Consider the following 19,010-nt stretch of genomic DNA (forward strand, 5'->3'; position numbering starts at 1 on the left):
CACAAAGGTCAAATTGACTGCGATGGCTCTAAGTGGCGTCTTCCTGTAATACAGCATCCACAACTGATCGTCCGTTCCTGTGCCAAACGCAGGTCCTCCGCACATACTAGGTGTCACCCTCAACTCTGTGCACGTGACGCCCGGTGCCCGGAGTGGGACACAGGTAGACACTGAGCTAGTTCCCGCACACACAGCCCCTTCCTGCTTGGAGCTTACAGCACAGCAGAGAATGCAGAACCCTAAATCCACATTGGAATTCCACAGTTCTATGTTATAAAATAATGGACAGCTTTTGATCAAAGCTTTCAAGGCTGGTGTTCCTCTGCTGGGGCTGTCATTACAAAATTCCACAGATAGTGTGGTTTCAACAACATTTATTCTCTCATAGTCCTGGAAGCCAGAAGTCCCAGATGGAGATGTGGGCAGGGCTGGATTCCCAAGGCCTCCCCTTGGCTGGCAGACGCTGTCTTCTTGCTGTGACCTCACATGGTCATCCCTCTGTGTGTGTGTCTGTGTCGTGATCACCCCTTCCTGTAAGGACCCCAGTCCTGTTTGATGAAACCCTATCTTCACATGCAGTCACATTCTGAGGTCCTGGGGGTTAGGAATCTGGGGGCCACATTTCAGCCCCTCACAGTTGGTTTTGCACCAAGAATTCCTTCCCCTTGTTTCCCTGTCTACTTCATTTGGCCTCCAGTGTAAATTCTCGATGTGCCTGTATCTTACAGGACGTCCCATTCTGCTACATTCCTTTAGGTGGAATGCATGAAACTCCATTCTCACATCTAAATCACACCCACCTTGCACGCCCTGTCCAAATATCTAGGCTCTTAGGAAGGCTTTTCCAACTTACCCTAGCCCTGCCAAGTCCTGCAGCCTCTGAACTCTTTTAACATTTTGCATCTGTGCAAAGCACACAGCAGTGATGTAGGAAAATGCCGTGGTTCTCTGATGCTCTCACGGATCCACAGTAGAGACTTGGAGGCGCGAGGCGCAAGGCACAAGCCTGGCGGGAAGACGCCGTCCTGGGGCGTGCAGAGGCAGCCGCTGCAGCCTGAGGAGGTGCCGAGTGTGCAGAGAACGTATGAGCCCTGAAATCTCAGAGTGATGGGGGCCTTAGGGCTTCTTCACGCAGTTGCCCTCAGACCTGAGTTCAGCAGCATCCTCCCCAGTTGCGGTCCAGCCCCCATTGGCCATTTCTCGGGGTGACTAACACTGTCCCTAGGCAGCTTTTCTCCCACAGGTCTTCGGATATTTATGACAATTGGAAAGGTCTTCCTCGAATTGAGCCCTAGTCTTTCCCTGAGAGTTCTCTCTCAGTGTCCTCAGCACTGCCCTTCAGAGTGGCCGACTCTGAAGGCAGGTAGAAAATGGAGGTGATGTCCCACGGTGCCTGGCTCTGACAAGTTCTCAGCAGTTCCCCGAAGGTCGGCAGCAGTCACACGGCGTGATTCATCCCAGCCAAACCCTTGCTCTCCCTGGGCAGGTGGGGTTGCACCATCTCGTCACCACCTTAATACCCTCCAGGACTTCTCACTGTTTATCTTACCATTCATGCTTTCAAAATAGTGAGGTGGAAAATGAACTTAAAATAGGTTGGGGCATTCCACTCTCCTTTATCTTCTATTTAAAGCATCTATACTTAAGTAACAAGTCACATTTCTTTTGTGTTTCATTTGCTTAAAATAAAATGCTGAAAAGTCAATTTTACAAAAGAAGAAAAGCTGTCTTTTATCACCCTCTGGTTGCTACAGGGAGCACGGGGAGCTGTCACACCCAATGAGGATTAGAAGCCATCTGAAGGCACCTGTTCCTGGGATCACCCCAGACAACCGCTCCACTCTTGCATTCTCTTTCTCTGCTTTGCTGGTGTATGTAGGAGCCGGACTCGGCACCCAGGCTCTGAGGGTTACCACTGCCTGGCCTGGGGCAAGTTCCACTCCTCTGTTTCTTCATCATTAAATTGGGCATAAAAGATGAGTAACGCACCACACAGGACTGTTGTAAGGATTGAATAAGTTCATCTGTGTGTTAGGTGCCTAGAACAGGGCTTTACACCATGGATAGAATTTGAATAAGTTCATCTGTATGTTAGGCGCCTAGAACAGCGCTTTACACCATGGATAGTAAGTAGTTTATGTGTCAGCCACTTCTAATACCATTCGTGTAATATGATTGCATTAATTGTCATTGGAAGCAGCCCTGGCTGAGGCACTGTCATTGCTTTTATAAACCATCCTGCATGTTTCTTGCCTCCCAGATGCATGTGTCAGCTCCTCGAGGAAGAGAGTAAGACACGTCTTTCTTTTGCCTCCGTCCTGTATGCATTAACAGTCTCAGCACCTGGTCAGCAGTCCTCAGACAGGCATTGAGGGGAACTAAACGGATGCTGTCTTTAGCCGTAAGCCTTTCATTCGGCCTCTATTTCTAGTAACTCACTCATTTCCTGACTTGGACCTGGCTGGTGCTGTATCCTCGTGGATGGCATTTGCGCCAGGGCAGAGGTTCAGAGCAGTTGTCCGCTTGGCAGAAGTCAGGCGTGGTTCCTGGACTCCAGGCATGGGAGATGGACAGAAAGGCAGGATGACTCAGGCTGGTGCTCTGCCCAGCGCGTTGCTGCCCAGTCACTGCAGGTTTAATATGCTGTGGTGGTTTGTGGCTTCTGTAATTGGAAATCTCTTCTGCAGAACTCTATTATCCTCTCACTTCCCGTGACTTGATTGGAAAAGAAGGAATTTGAAGATCTTTTATGTTTTCTTAAATTTGATGGTAATGAAACTGGATGTTGAAATTTGAGGTGAATAAATCATTGCTAACAGGACATCTCAGGGCTGAGCTGGAAGAATAGAATTGTGGCAGGGCTTTTAGCTCACATGTCATCGCCACTTGAGAGGGGAAGTGGATATTTGTGCATTTCTCATATTCCACGTGCATCGTGGAACTGTCCACTCACCCTGGAAGTGGGCTTGACTATTCTGCATTTCAGGATGAGGAAGCTGGGCCCCACAGAGTCTGGCATCACACAGATCAGCGACAGAGTGCAGGGCCCTTTTCAATATGCCACTTTTCTCTGAAAAGAGAGCCAGGGAGAACAGAAAAGAGTTTCTTATGAACATAGACTTGGCATTTCAATGCTGCAGGTCAACTTAGTGGTGCAGCCTGCTGTCTGTGCAGGTGGGGGGCCTGAGGCACACACTGCTCAGGCACCTGCCAGGTGATGGGGTGGGCAGCTGGGGACAGCTCTGGGACCTGGGCCCTCACCTGCAGGCACCTACACAGGTGATAGGGTGGGTGGGGCGCAGGTCACCGTGGCGCCAACGCTGGGGCGCAGGTCACCGTGCTGCCAACGCTGGGACGCTGGTCACCGTGGTGCCAACGCTGGGACGCTGGTCACCGTGCTGCCAACGCTGGGACGCTGGTCACCGTGCTGCCAACGCTGGGACGCTGGTCACCGTGCTGCCAACACTAGGACACTGTTTAATGTGCTTCCAACACTTACCGAGGGCCGACTCTGCAGGCGAGCAAAGCAGACACCGTCTTGCCCTCACTCCTCCCTCTCCTGGTGTGGGGAAGACAAATGTCGTGCGAGTCCCCTCCACAGCAGGGCTTCTCACCCTCAGCTCTCCTGACGTCCGGGCTGCATAATTCCTCTTCATGGGCACCGTCTTGTGTATTGCAGGGTTTTAGGAGCATCACTGGCTGCTGCCTGCTAGATGCCAGGAGCTCTTTGTGAAAGAGGTGCAAAGACTTTAAGCCGCTCTCCAGAGTGACCTGTCTGATGATTCAAAGCCAGTTATCTCAATGCTCTTCAATAAGTTGGACATGGACGGCGTGGGCTAGAGGAAGATCAGAGAGAGATAAAACTGTGATATATTTCCAGTGTTTCATCATTAAACTCTTATTAATTGTACTGCAATAGAGGCAGTATATTTTCCCAAGCGAACATGGCGTTAGATACAGCCACATCAAATTCATTTCAATGCCAGAATTCCTTCAGCTGTGTTTCATTCTTCCTTGTGAAATCTTAGGGATTCAGTCTAAAGATCCGTACGGGGCACTCTGAGTGTGTTATTCCATGTGTCAGTGAAGGGATGTGGGGTTATGGCCACCTACGTGGCCACCTATGCAAGATGACAGTTTCGCTCATAGTTGAGCCGTCCTTGAAGAACACCCACGTTCCTCCTGTTGTTTCTTCTGGAGTGCGGAGGCTTCGCTGGTGAGTGATGACCCCGAGACCTCCGTGCCTGGGGGGGCGCCAGCATGTGGGGCGGGGGCGTCTTCATGGGTCTCATTTGCTTTGGCCGTTGGAGCGTTTGCATTTGCTGCCGTTTGCTTGAGTGACTGCGCAGCAAGACTCTGTGCTGGAGAAAGCCACGCCCCTCGGGGGGAGGCGCCGCCGCCACGCGCGTGCGGCCCGGAGGGTGTCGGGAGCAGGGGCCGCGGGCGGCAGCTGACGGGCGGGCCCTTCCGGAGGCGCCGCGCCTGGACCGTGGCCGCAGGTTGGGCAGCGCCAGACGCAGAGCCCTGTGCCGCTTGCGTCCCCGGGCTTCCTGCCCGACAAGGACGGGGGGCCGGACAGAGAGCCGTGTCGGCCGAGACCCGAATCCGGGATCAGGTTTGTGTTTCTGTGGACACGTCTGCCCACAAAGAGGGCAGTGGGCAATTGTTCTCTTCACCAGAGAATGGTTTTTGTCAACGTTCAGTGAGATCATTTCACCAGTGAGGTGGCCACAGCGGCGCTTTCTCTACCCAAACCTCGCTTCCTCTCGCTGAAGGGGTTCCAGTCTCGATCATCAGTGAAGTCCTTCCACATCCATGGGGCGTCCACCAACTAGGAGCTTAATCAACACAACGCTGTGGCCTCTCCAGCTCAGGGACGTGCCTTTCCCGTGTCTTCTTCTCACACACAAACGTAGCCTGCAAGGAAGGTCAGGTTCAATGCACGGAATCTACCCTGCTGCCCGCTAGGAGGTCATATGTGTATCACAGACCCGCAGAGAATGCTCTCCACAGTACATGAAGCGCGGTACAAATGGAATGAGTGTAACGGGCATTCTCTGTTTGAAAAAAGTTATCCCAATTGAATAGTCGGTAATTTCTCTTTATTGTAACCCAATAGATCACAAAATGCAACCTGAGGTTTAAGCTGAGGGGTGGGGCGTTTGCAGAGGGCTGTGTGGTGGAGGTTAGGTTAGGTTTGCAGACGGCTGTGTGGTGGAGGTTAGGTTAGGTTTGCAGAGGACTGTGTGGTGGAGGTTAGGTTAGGTTTACAGAGGGCTGTGTAGTGTGGAGGTTAGGTTAGGTTTGCAGAGGGCTGTGGTGGAGGTTAGGGTCGGTTTGCAGAAGGCTGTGGTGGAGGGTAGGTCACGTTTGTAGAGGGCTGTGTAATGGAGGTTACGTTAGGTTTACAGAAGGCTGTGTGGTGGAGGTGGGGCCTTCTCCCTGCCCCACGGTGGTCCCATGCAGCCCGCAAAACACCCATGTTCGGCACGGGTCCAGTGACCTCAGCAGGGAGGCAGCTCCCTGATTACAAGACCAACTTTTGTTCTTGGACCAAAGCTGATTTTGCCTTCTCTGTAGGATGATTGCGCAAAAGGTCACCAGAGTCATTCTGAAAGCAGCAGGAGTTCTGAGGCTTCTGTTCGCTCCAATTTACTTAACAAAGGGCATTCAGGTGGATTTGTTCAGGCTGTGCTTTATGATTCTCTGAAAATTAAAAATCCTTCCTGTGATGTAACCATGTGGCAGACGGAGAATCTGCCTCAATGTAGGAGTTAAAGATTTGAACTCCAAGTTCATTTCTGAGTCGTTTGGATTCTGTAATTATTCATCCTTTTTGACTTTGTTTTACTTTGCATTATCAAAATGCATAAAGTGGAGACTGGACGGTGGAAATCCTGCAGGGCACCGAGGCACCTAACGTCAAGGCTTCAGTCCGAATCGGTCCAAGCAGAGGCCACTCAGGAAAGCAACTGTGCGTGGGACTCCGGTGCCGCACGGCCTGGCACTTCGTCTTCCGTGACTCGCCTGTTTCACGAGTGGGATCCCAAGCCCAATACGACAGCCAGGGCATTGTCCTCACTGACAGCAGGTGGTCGATCTCAAGCCCAATACCACAGCCGGGGCGCTGTCCTCACTGACAGCAGGTGGTCACTGGGGAGCATGCTACTGAGGTGCTGTTCATCTCCAGGAAATTAGATTCTTAACATCACCTCTCCACGACCTCAGAACTGAGCCCCCACCTCCTACATTTGGGTTAACGACACCTCTCCACGACCTCAGAACTGATCCCCCACCTCCTACATTTGGGTTAACGACCCCTCTCCACGGCCTCAGAACTGATCCCCCACCTCCTACATTTGGGTTAACGACACCTCTCCACGACCTCAGAACTGAGCCCCCACCTCCTACATTTGGGTTAACGACACCTCTCCACGGCCTCAGAACTGAGCCCCCACCTCCTACATTTGGGTTAACGACACCTCTCCACGGCCTCAGAACTGAGCCCCCACCTCCTACATTTGGGTTAACGACACCTCTCCACGACCTCAGAACTGATCCCCCACCTCCTACATTTGGGTTAACGACACCTCTCCACGGCCTCAGAACTGAGCCCCCACCTCCTACATTTGGGTTAACGACACCTCTCCACGGCCTCAGAACTGAGCCCCCACCTCCTACATTTGGGTTAACGACACCTCTCCACGGCCTCAGAACTGAGCCCCCACCTCCTACATTTGGGTTAACGACATCTCTCCACGGCCTCAGAACTGAGCCCCCACCTCCTACATTTGGGTTAACGACCCCTCTCCACGGCCTCAGAACTGAGCCCCCACCTCCTACATTTGGGTTAACGACACCTCTCCACGGCCTCAGAACTGAGCCCCCACCTCCTACATTTGGGTTAACGACATCTCTCCACGGCCTCAGAACTGAGCCCCCACCTCCTACATTTGGGTTAACGACACCTCTCCACGGCCTCAGAACTGAGCCCCCACCTCCTACATTTGGGTTAACGACACCTCTCCACGGCCTCAGAACTGAGCCCCCACCTCCTACATTTGGGTTAACGACATCTCTCCACGGCCTCAGAACTGAGCCCCCACCTCCTACATTTGGGTTAACGACCCCTCTCCACGGCCTCAGAACTGAGCCCCCACCTCCTACATTTGGGTTAACGACACCTCTCCACGGCCTCAGAACTGAGCCCCCACCTCCTACATTTGGGTTAACGACACCTCTCCACGACCTCAGAACTGAGCCCCCACCTCCTACATTTGGGCTGTTTCTCAAATAAGACAAACATCAGCCATGAAAGGAATCAGAATGAGGCAGTAAACTCAGAAAGAGTCCTTGAAGCCCAGCTGTGGGTGAAGGGCCCGGGACGTGCTGTCTCATAGCTGTGAGCCACCTCCTAGGAGACAAACCAGGTCTCTGTGCCGTTTCTTCTCACTCCATCAGCCAGCTCCTGTGCACCGCAGTCCCTCTAGAGAGCATCGGCCACGGGGGCCTGCAGAGAGAGGAGCTTCCTTGAAAAGCGCCCCGCTGCATGGCCTCTGTGCCCACCTGCTGGTGGCAGTGAATCAGCCTGGAAGCTGGGCTGACCTGCGCTTCAGAACTCAGAGCTCCGACGGAGCTGGAGGCCGTGCTGGTACAATTGAGGCGCTTTCAGAAGAAGACGCTCCCTTTCAGAAGCTGCTCTCCTCCTGCTGAAGAAGGGGGAGCCGGGTGGCAGTGGGGAGCCGGGTGACAGGGACGTGCCAGCTCACAGGGCTGCCAAGACCCTCACTCTGACCCCGGTGGGATGTGTGGTCATCGGCGGATGGCGGGGACAGGGCTACCGAGACCCTCAACCTGAGCCCGGTGGGATGTGTGGTCATCGGCGGATGGCGGGGACAGGGCTACCGAGACCCTCAACCTGAGCCCGGTGGGATGTGTGGTCCGCAGGTGGGGTTCTTCTTGCTACTGCAAGCGTATTTGGCCGTGAAAGCGAAATGTGCACGGGTAGGAAATGGCCTCAGAGCAAGGCCCACATCGAAGGATTTGTCATGGCCCCTTCTGCAGACGCAGTTCTGAAGGAATGGGAACTGATTTGTAATCACACCATGCAATTAACAGAGTGCATCAGGGACCACATGCTTCAGCAGAACCACAGTGTCAGTTACTGTGCGCGGTCCCTGGCTGCTTACATTAGAATAGGGCAGTGAGATGCCTGCCACTTCTGCAGGGAGCTTCCAGATAGGCGTGTGCGTCCCAGCGAGAGGAAGTCCTCGGGGCCCAGCCCCACAGCACCTGTCCCTACCTGGCCCCTCCAGGTCAGTGGTGTGCAGCTGTAGGGTTAGGGCAGCAGAGGTGTTTGGGGCCAGCCAGGAGGGGGCTGCTTAATGCACAGGTCTTCGGCCGAGCGCAGTGGCTCACGCCTGTAATCCCAGCACTTTGGGAGGCCGAGGCGGGCGAATCACGAAGTCAGGAGATCGAGACCATCCTGGGTAATATGGTGAAACCCCGTCTCTACAGAAAATACAAAAAATTAGCCAGGCGAGGTGGCAGGCGCCTATAGTCGCAGCTACTCTGGAGGCTGAGACAGGATAATGGTGTGAACCTGGGAGGCGGAGCTGGCAGTGAGCTGAGATCGCACCACTGCACTCCAGCCCGGGCGATAGAGCGAGACTCCGACTCAAAAAAATAAATAAAATAAAATAAAGATGCACAGGTCTTCATATCCCAGGAAAGGTGAAGCTGGGAGGCAGAGGACATACCCCAGCCTGTCAGAACCCAGTGTGCCCTGAGGGCCTGTGAGGAGGGCCTTGCCAGCGTGGGGGTCAGTGGATCTGAGTGCAGCTCCCTCCTGTCTCCTCCCAATACCATATAATATTGTCAGCTCTGGTATTCTTGGTCCAGCACAGCTTCTTCATGTTTTTCACCTTTGTGATGTAAGAATCCAGCTCCGTGCAGAACCCGAGCATAGGCACGGAAGTGTGCCCGAGGGGAGGCCTGGAGCCTGTGTCTCTTCTGCGAAGCTGCACCCACCTCGTCTGTCTGGGGGTGGCAGCCCCAAATCAGCTGATGGAGTTCACGCACCCCTGTGCAGACGCAGCCTCCCCCAGGGCCTTTGGCTGCCGTACACCCTCAGGCTTGGTCCCTCTCAGCAGCCACTGAATCAGACAGCTGCCCCAAGACCTGACTTGCACTGTACTCCTGCTGAAGTGACCCGTCTCAAGATATCTGGACGCAGGTGCACACCTGGCCTCACTTGTCCCTTGCACGTATGCCGTATGTCTGACTTTGTCTGTCTGTCCTGCGCACACCTGACCTCACCTGTCCATCCTGTGCACACCTGACCTCACCTGTGTGTCCTGCACACACCTGACCTCACCTGTCCTTGCCACACACACCTGACTTCGCCTGTCTGTCCTGCACACACCTGACCTCACCTGTCCTGCGCACACCTGACTTCACCTGTCTGTCCTGCACACACCTGACCTCACCTGTCTGTCCTGCACACACCTGACCTCACCTGTCCTTGCCACACACACCTGACTTCGCCTGTCCGTCCTGCACACACCTGACCTCACCTGTCCATCCTGCGCACACCTGACTTCGCCTGTCCATCCTGCACACACCTGGCCTCACCTGTCTTTCCTGCGCACACCTGACCTCACCTGTCCCTGACACACACAGCTGACTTCGCCTGTCTGTCCTGCGCACACCTGGCCTCACCTGTCCATCCTGCTCACACCTGGCCTCACCTGTCTGTCCTGCGCACACCTGGCCTCATCTGTCCGTCCTGCACACATGGGTTGGGCGGGGACAGGCTCCATCTTCCTCTGTGCTTTCATCACCCTCATTTTTGGAAAGTCACACGTTTTGCTTTCATTCTAATTTACATTCTCACTTTTTCAGTCTTTCCTTATGCAGTTTCTGGCGTTTCCTTCATTTCCCCAGATTCTTTCAAATCCTGATTCTCTTCTCTGAGGAGTCTGTGCCGTCCCCTTCAGGGCAGTGTGGTCGGCGGGTTCAACACTCATGCTTCCCTGTCCTTTGGCCTCCAAGTTGTTAAAACAGTCAATCACTTCTAGCTCAGGGTAGCTCATTCTTAGCCCCATAGGGTCCACCACAGCATGTGTCCCCTTGGGCTGACATTGGGCTATGGATAAAGCTTCTTTTTAAATTAAAATGAAAAAATTCAATTTCTTTCCCAAAAAGGCTTAGTTAGCTTCTATGGCTACAAGACCAGGAAATGCACAGCTAGGTGAGGAGACAAGGCCAGTTCTTCCCTGAGCCCTGCCTAGACTGTGGCACGTCAGCCTCACGGGGCCACCCGCTGCCATCAGCCCGAGTCCTCCTGCCTTCGCAAATTTTAGCTCACGTCCATGCAGTGCCGGCTCTGTGCCAGGCACAGGCCCGAGGGCCACATCTTCGCTAAGTCACCAGCTCAGTGCGAGGCATGGGCCTAAGAGCCGCGTCTTTGCTAAGTCATGTCCCTGGCACAGCCGCCCCACACGGCACGTACGCCGACATCCCTTATCTAGGAGGTGGAGAAACGGGCAGGGAGACTAAATACCTCAGACCAAGGCAGCCTCCGTCTGCCGAGGCCTCTCCTCATGGCGAATTTCCTCCTCCCGCTTCCTTCACTCATTCACCGAGCCACCATGCGCCCTGCTGTGTATACTGAGGCGTCATATTCAGTCTCTTCTTGTAAGAACCGTAACCGCTGTCATCATTTTTAACCAGGTCCCTGGAAGTCTTTGTCACATAGAGTTGGGAAAACTCAGTCCAGGCCCTGAAAGAGTTTACTTTCTAACTGGCAGGGACCCCGCACTTAACGTCAGGAGCCCCCAGTGCCGTGAGTGACTGAGGCTGGCATGGCAACCGTGCCTGGGAGAAGGGAGGTTGTGCAGGGGCTGACAGAGAGTGGCCAACAACCCCATTTCCCTGCTTGGTGGGGGTCTGCTGATTTCGGGGTGTCCTCCCTTCCCTCCCCTCCTGCTCGGTGGGGGCCTGCTGATTTGGGGTGCCTTCCCTTCCCTCCCCTCCTGCTCGGTGGGGGCCTGATTTTGGGGTGCCCTCCCTTCCCTCCCCTCCTGCTCGGTGGGGGCCTGCTCTTTTGGGGGTGCTCTCTTCAATTCTCTTCTGAGCCCGGCTCCATCCCAGCATCTGCACCCTGGTCAGGAGATGCCTGCTCTGCCCACTGCTGTGTCCTTGGGGCAGGGGCTGCCTGTTCTGGGTCTCATTCTCTTTTATGTCCCAGCCAAGCCGCTGGTTTGTAACAGTAGTTCAATAAACACTTTCAAATGAACATACATAGGAATCCTGAAAAGAGTACTCGAATGTGCAAAAGGGTGTCTCTCAGCACTTCAGGCAGCAAAGCGCTTTGCAGAGACATGAACGCGAGTGTTTGCTGTGCGTGTGGGGCTGCTGGCACCGACGGGAGCTCAGGCTTTGTTACTTCCTGCACCGCAAATTACCTGCACCTGGTTAACGGAAGCAGCCGTCTCCAGAAATTATGAAATAAATCGCAGGTTACTTCAGAAGCATTTCAGTCACCATTGAGTTGAACTAAGGAGACTTTGGAAAAGCACAAATTCGTGCATAAAACTCACCCCTCCAGTTGCCAGAGATGCTCAGCTGCACAAAAGACTTGTGATAAGCGAGGCTTTTTTCTGAGAAAGTGTGCGGGCCTTTTGCATCTCACCTGGTTACAAAGCGACGTGAATTAAAGTCCACATGAAGGATCAGCATGAACACCCGACCACATCTTACTCCAAATTGCTTCTGAAATTAAAAGTTCGCCGAGGTGTCATGTTCACTGGGGACTCTCTGTAGCACTGAGCTACTTTGAAAAATTCTTTAATTACACGCTTGCGAAAGTCATGACTATTGGTATTAACTGGGACACAGGGATAGCTATTTCGAAAAAAGTGACATTGAACTCACAATACCTTATCTTATTAAATTCCATGGAGACTAAAAGTTTAAACTTAAGAAAATAAAGCCATAAGAATTGCAAAATATGATTTTGGTGACCATTTGTATCATCTCAGAACCGGTTAGGATGTTTTGAACATGATTCAAAAAAAAAAAAAAAAAAAAAAACACCCAAAAGGCCAAAAAGGAAAAAGGTTATTCTTTACATTTGATATTTTTATATTTATATTTTACTTAAATAATATAAGGAGTTCCTTTCTAAATCAAAATTAGACTTAAGAGGCCAATTAAAAATAAAGGTCACGGCGCATGGTGAGGAGTTGCTGTTCGTAACCGACGGAAAAGGCTTCATACGTGAACACGGCTGGACAAGCAACCAGAACAGGTGCTTCCCCAGGATGTCCAGAAACAAGCAGAGACCGTGAAGGACATTTAACCTCACCACCAATTCCATGTGTGCCCATGAAAACAAGATTCCATTGTTGGCTGACAGATTGGCAAAGATTAATACTAGCCAATGTTAGCAAAGACATGAAAAAATGGGCCGTTACGGTTCCTGCTTACTTATTAAACATTTCTGTGGGCCAGTTTGGCAATTTGAACTGAGCGTAACTCTTTTGTACTCAAGGAGTACGACATGATGATTTGATGTCTGTGCACCTTGTGCAGTGATGACCACAACTGGGTAAATTAACACACCTGTCCTCATCCAGGCTGGACGGTGCAGCCCCAGACCTTGCCCATCCTGTGACTTGAATTTATATCCTTTGGTTAGCATCTCCCCGTTCCGCTTTCCCTGGGCCCTGGCGCCCACTCTTCTACTCTGTGCTTCTGGGAATCTGGGTTTTTCTAGTTCCACAAGTAAGTGAGGCCACTCAGTGTTTGCCTTTCTGTGCCTGGCCTATTTCACTCAGCATCATGTCCTCCAGCTCCATCGCGTTGCCGTGAATGCTGGGATTTTCTTCCTTAGTAAATCTGAGGGTTATTCTAGTGTGTGTGTGTGTGTGTGTGTGTGTGTGTGTGTGTGTGTGTTTGTATCACATTTTCAAAGTGAGCGTAGCCATTCAGATAGGAATTCCATGTCTACACATTTACATTAAGGAAATATAAAATGTACGTTTCTTGTCTGAACCCCAGCACCAAGAATGATAAAGTCTACACAGTGTTTTTTAGATTACATTTATGCAATCTTGAAAAAAATCAAATAAATACACAGTTGACCCTCATAAAAAAGCAGGGCTTAGTGGTAGCAACCCCCTCATGCAGTCAGAAATCCGCATATAACTTTTGACTCCCCCAGACTTTACTGCTGATAGCCTCCTGTTAACCAGAAGCCTAAGCAATAATACAGTCACTGACACACATTGTGTTTGTTACATGTATTACATGCTGTATTCATACAGTAAAGTAAGCTAGAGAAAGAAAATGTTATGAAAATCATAAAATACATGTACTGTTTATTAAATGGAAATGGATCACCACAGAGGCCTTCATCCCCGTCTTCACGTTGAGTGGGCTCAGGAGGAGAAGAGGGGTTGTTCCCACAGTCTCAGGGTGGCAGAGGAGGAAGAAGATCCCCGTGTGAGTGGACTCCAGCAGTTCCAACCAATGTTGTTCAAGGGCAAGTGTGCGTGAATATATGTGCAGAAATATGTATCATCGGTCAGGCGCAGTGGCTCACAGCTGTAATTGCAGCGCTTTGGGAGGCAGGGGCAGGAGAATTGCTTGAGCCCAGGAGTTTGAGACCAACCTGGGCAACACAGTGAGACCCCATCTCTACAAAAAAATAAACTTTTAAAAAATTAGCAGTGCAGTGGTGTGTGCCTGCAGTCCCAGCTACTTTGCAGGCTGAGGTGGGAAGATTGTGTAAGCCTGGGAGATGGAAGCGGCAGTGAGCCATGATCGTGCCGCTGCACTCCAGCCTGGGCAACCCAGTGAGACCCTGTCTCAAAGGGGAAAAAAACAAAAGAAATGTGTATAGTTTACATTGATTATAGCAAGAAATCAGAAGCCATATTGAATGCTTCATCAAAGAGGACTGGTTGAATAAACTTTAGTATATCCCCCCCAAAAAAGTTCTATAGCCAATTAAAATTATGGAAGGGATGTATGTATACAAAGTGTGTGTGTGCGTGTGTGTGTGTGTAGAGAGAGACCCTAATCAATGAGAAATTATACTTACTATGTTAATTAATCAGGCTGATACAATTAGCATATGCGGTGTCATCTTATTTTTGTGGAACGCAAATCGAAGGATCTTTGGACGTAAGTATTCTCAGGTGGATGTGCATCGCCACGTGGGCAGTGCCATATCTATGTTGTGACATTGCAGGGATCATCCCCTTTATCTATTTTGGCAAATTTATAATTAAGTTTGTCAGGTATATTCATTAATTTTGTAACGAGAAAAATAAGGGATTTTTATTTTGAAAAAAATAATTACACGCTTTCTGGAAAGTCATCAAGTTCTAAGGTTTGGAGAATATGTTACAGTATTTCAAATTCTCAAATATGGAAAAGGTGTTGGAAAAGTGCTGCTGCCGCCACTTCATGCCAGATGCTAAAAACATAAAGGGCAGCAATCCTGAATGAGAAATGCATTAATAATCTCAGACTTTTATACAGAGATTCTGTCAAATGGTACGGTATGTGTTAGCCCTGCCTTGTACACACAAGAACACGGATGTGGAGGCTGATAGGCCTTCGCTCAAGGAGGCAAATGGTTTAGGGACACACAGTTGGCGACGTTACCGGTCTGAGGAGCTTTAGCCTTCCTGCCTGTGTTGTATTTTTGGGGAGGCTCAAAGGCTGCTTGATTAACGACCAGATCCCAATTCCATGGTTCCCCTTAGTGGCTGGGGCTGGGACAGGTGCCGTCCACCTGGCCCAGGGCTGAGGCTCTTCTCTGTAAGGTCAGTGAAAACTTTGCAGTATTAGAATGGCCACGTCAGAGCCTATATTAACTTGACATTAACAAGAAGCATGAATTAAACTCCTGGTCAGATGACCACCAGCAGCTCCCAGCGAGCACTTTCCAGCAGAGTAAACTAATGAATCTCTTCACTCTTCATGGGTGAGAGAGCGGCAGATGTCTTTGGCGGTGGACTCTGACAGGAAGGTCATTTCACTCCCATTCTCTTCTCCGATGTGTTACATTCATGAAGGAGACCCACAAATGCATGTCTGGGGTTTTGGTGTCTGTACTTAGTGATAAAATATGTGACCCCAACAAGAAAGGGGTTTTCGTTATTCACTGGCTCATTCAGACGTTGGGAAACAGTATACACTTATTTAGGCATCAATTAATAGAAGAATTAGGTCAGAATTCATTAGGTTACTAGGCCAGGTCTGTATTTTTTAAAGTGAAAGTTACTGTGACCAAAGGATTCATAAAAGTTAAGGGATGAAGTGGCCTTGGATGCCATTTTCAGAATTTAATTTCTTTCCTGGAAAAAGCAAGAATTGTGACTGCACAGTCGCTGCACTCTCCTCTGCCGTGGCCTATGCCCGGCCCCTGAGAACTTGGTGCACAGTTACCCCGGCCTGTGCCCGGCCCCTGAGAACTTGGTGCACAGTTACCCCGGCCTGTGCCCGGCCCCTGAGAACTTGGTGCTCAGTTACCCCGGCCTGTGCCCGGCCCCTGAGAACTTGGTGCACAGTTACCCCGGCCTGTGCCCGGCCCCTGAGAACTTGGTGCACAGTTACCGCGGCCTGTGCCCGGCCCCTGAGAACTTGGTGCACAGTTACCCCGGCCTGTGCCCGGCCCCTGAGAACTTGGTGCACAGTTACCCCGGCCTGTGCCCGGCCCCTGAGAACTTGGTGCACAGTTACCCCGGCCTGTGCCCGTCCCCTGAGAACTTGATGCACAGTTACCCCGGCCTGTGCCCGTCCCCTGAGAACTTGGTGCACAGTTACCCCGGCCTATGCCCATCCCCTGAGAACTTGGTGCACAGTTACCCCGGCCTATGCCCGGCCCCTGAGAACTTGGTGCACAGTTACCCCGGCCTGTGCCCGTCCCCTGAGAACTTGGTGCACAGTTACCCCGGCCTATGCCCGTCCCCTGAGAACTTGGTGCACAGTTACCCCGGTCTGTGCCCGTCCCCTGAGAACTTGGTGCACAGTTACCCCGGCCTATGCCCGTCCCCTGAGAACTTGGTGCAGTTACCCCGGCCTGTGCCCGTCCCCTGAGAACTTGGTGCACAGTTACCCCGGCCTATGCCCGGCCCCTGAGAACTTGGTGCACAGTTACCCCGGCCTGTGCCCGTCCCCTGAGAACTTGGTGCACAGTTACCCCGGCCTATGCCCGTCCCCTGAGAACTTGGTGCACAGTTACCCCGGCCTGTGCCCGTCCCCTGAGAACTTGGTGCACAGTTACCCCGGCCTATGCCCGTCCCCTGAGAACTTGGTGCACAGTTACCCCGGCCTATGCCCGTCCCCTGAGAACTTGGTGGACAGTTACCCGGCCTGTGCCCGTCCCCTGAGAACTTGGTGCACAGTTACCCGGCCTGTGCCCGTCCCCTGAGAACTTGGTGCACAATTACCCGGCCTGTGCCCGTCCCCTGAGAACTTGGTGCACAGTTACCCGGCCTGTGCCCGGCCCCTGAGAACTTGGTGCACAATTACCCGGCCTGTGCCCGTCCCCTGAGAACTTGGTGCACAGTTACCCGGCCTGTGCCCGGCCCCTGAGAACTTGGTGCACAATTACCCGGCCTGTGCCCGTCCCCTGAGAACTTGGTGCACAATTACCCGGCCTGTGCCCGTCCCCTGAGAACTTGGTGCACAATTACCCGGCCTGTGCCCGTCCCCTGAGAACTTGGTGCACAGTTACCCCGGCCTATGCCCATCCCCTGAGAACTTGGTGCACAGTTACCCCGGCCTGTGCCCGTCCCCTGAGAACTTGGTGCACAATTACCCGGCCTGTGCCCGTCCCCTGAGAACTTGGTGCACAGTTACCCCGGCCTATGCCCATCCCCTGAGAACTTGGTGCACAGTTACCCGGCCTGTGCCCGGCCCCTGAGAACTTGGTGCACAGTTACCCCGGCCTATGCCTGTCCCCTGAGAACTTGGTGCACAGTTACCCGGCCTGTGCCCGGCCCCTGAGAACTTGGTGGACAGTTACCCTTCTCCGGGAGCCACGACAACCTAGCCAGCAGCACCCACAGTCCTAATACTGGAATCAATGAGATCTGAAGATTGGAGCAATTCCCAGGCAAGAGCTCCTAGGAATTAAATCTCTTGTTACAAAAATATGGTTTAATCTCCACGGGATTTTGAAAATAAAATTGAAAACAACAATCTCCCAGAAAACAGGAAAATGACAAAATAATGGAAAATAAGAGTAAAAAGATGAGATGCTCACAGTGACTTTGCAAAAACTCCAACATATGATGACAAAGCTCTCAAAAGAGCATAGAGAAAGCAGAGTGGGGAAATGATCCAGGAAAAGGAAATTCTAGAAAAATCACCAATTCTAGAAAAATCACCAGACCCAAAGTCGGTGAGATTATAGATGGCAGGTGCATGAACTCCCCAGAACAATGAATACAACATAGGCCGACACCCCTGGAAAACTCCCATACACCAGCATTGCCAGGGGAGCCTGTGAGCTTTCAGGGAGAAAAGACAGATCGAGAAACCAGATGGCTTCCATCTTCTCCAGAGCGGCAGGGACAGCTGGGAGAACCTGCAGAATTCCCTCCAGAATCCTGGAGAAGTGGTGGCTGCTCCGGAGCTCCAGGCACAGGCACACCACCGGCCAGATGTGAGAGTGGAGTAAGAGGGCCAGCCACACAGAGTCTCTGAGGCTCCCCTTCGCTCTCTCAGGAAGATTCGGAGGATGTGCTGACCCAGAAACGAGAGAAGAAACCTGGACAGAGGAAGGTGCGGGGATCCAGGAACCAGGGATTCAGCCAGGTTAGCAGCTGAGGAGATGCTCAGGATGGGGAGGAAAGCCCAGGCCACACCAGCATAGAATGCGGCAAGAAGGTGAGATCCAAAGAAAAAAAGGATTGATTTTTGAATGGGTTTTACCATATTGATGGAAAAAAAATGCTATGACTATGTTGAGAGAATTTTGAACTGTATTAATGATATAAATTATGCACATTAAAAAGTAAAGTAATAACTCCAGGGAAGGTAAAATGTTGTATGAGGATAGATAATAATAGCTCATTATGCAGATTCACATTGAATAATGTTTACCTAAAAATAAATTTAATACTAAATGTTAATTGGACGTCATATTGGTAAGCCAGAAAAGAGGGGAACTAGATAACGGCATGTATTGCGGGTGTGGTCGAAAAGCTCAGGTATCATATAGCAAAACAGCAGAGCCGTCGTGATCATTGACAGTAAGGAGGATGGTATTGAAGAAAACAGCCGGAGGAGGTGAGGGCTTGTCTGTGGGAAGAGTTCTTCTTCATGCAGAGGGTGGAGAGACTGAGAGGCAGGTCTGCTGATTTTCTTCATAAGGCTTTTATAGTATTATCAGATTTTTGTAAAAGTGTATACATGAAAAATTAGTATAAAGATGAAATTTGGAATTTAAAATAAAAGAATGGAATAAGTTCACAGAGAGTAGAAACCCTGAATTGGGCAGTGGCCACGGGGCTGCAGAGAAGGCTGGGTTTGGCTACCTGGAGACACACATCACAGCATTAAGATTGGCAGTCTGGTGCACGGGGGCTGAGGGGCAGTTTGCAGAACTGAGGAGGTTCTGGAGAAGGACGGTGGTCGTGGTTGCACGGCAGTGAGTGTATCTGACGCCACTGAACTGCACCACTGGACGTGGCTAGAATGGTGAATTTCGTGTATGTTCTACCCCACAGAAAAAGATCAGGTGCCTGTTTGACTTCAAAGTGTGGAAGAAATAGGCACTAAGTTGGGTCCTGGGTTTTGGGTTGAGGTGGTTGGTGACTGGTAGGGGTGAAGGGTGAGAGGAAGGTTCAGGTAGGAATGGCAACCAGATTTTTCTCAGGAACCAGGTGGAGGGCCTCACCTGTGCCACAATCGGAACCAGGAAAAGGCATGAAATTGTCCAGGAGGCCAGTGATGTCAGTCTAAGAGCCTGTGGATTTGATGGC

At 51.5% G+C, this 19,010-nt stretch overlaps 1 protein-coding gene and 1 non-coding gene across 2 annotated transcripts in view, besides 3 other annotated features; both read left to right on the forward strand.

The window, feature by feature from the left end:
- DLGAP2 (DLG associated protein 2) overlaps positions 1-19,010 on the forward strand; it is a 970,849-nt gene that overhangs the window by 631,237 nt on the left and 320,602 nt on the right. The gene's annotated exons all lie outside the window — the stretch shown is intronic.
- Positions 4,393-4,893: an enhancer, noted in NCBI's record as "H3K4me1 hESC enhancer chr8:1321423-1321923 (GRCh37/hg19 assembly coordinates)". NCBI's record gives its function as "activates a minimal SCP1, AML or CMV promoter by ChIP-STARR-seq in naive H9 embryonic stem cells {active_cell/tissue: H9 hESC(naive)}" and the evidence as "EXISTENCE:reporter gene assay evidence [ECO:0000049][PMID:30033119]".
- LOC105379585 (keratinocyte proline-rich protein-like) lies at positions 4,449-12,012 on the forward strand. The gene is made up of 2 exons (XR_001745759.2): positions 4,449-4,499; positions 4,776-12,012. It is a non-coding gene; the product is annotated as a keratinocyte proline-rich protein-like (transcript).
- Positions 5,006-5,819: an enhancer, noted in NCBI's record as "OCT4-NANOG-H3K4me1 hESC enhancer chr8:1322036-1322849 (GRCh37/hg19 assembly coordinates)". NCBI's record gives its function as "activates a minimal SCP1, AML or CMV promoter by ChIP-STARR-seq in naive H9 embryonic stem cells {active_cell/tissue: H9 hESC(naive)}" and the evidence as "EXISTENCE:reporter gene assay evidence [ECO:0000049][PMID:30033119]".
- Positions 8,108-9,050: an enhancer, noted in NCBI's record as "H3K4me1 hESC enhancer chr8:1325138-1326080 (GRCh37/hg19 assembly coordinates)". NCBI's record gives its function as "activates a minimal SCP1, AML or CMV promoter by ChIP-STARR-seq in naive H9 embryonic stem cells {active_cell/tissue: H9 hESC(naive)}" and the evidence as "EXISTENCE:reporter gene assay evidence [ECO:0000049][PMID:30033119]".

Source organism: Homo sapiens, chromosome 8, assembly GCF_000001405.40.
Source record: "Homo sapiens chromosome 8, GRCh38.p14 Primary Assembly".
Classification (NCBI taxonomy): domain Eukaryota; kingdom Metazoa; phylum Chordata; class Mammalia; order Primates; family Hominidae; genus Homo; species Homo sapiens.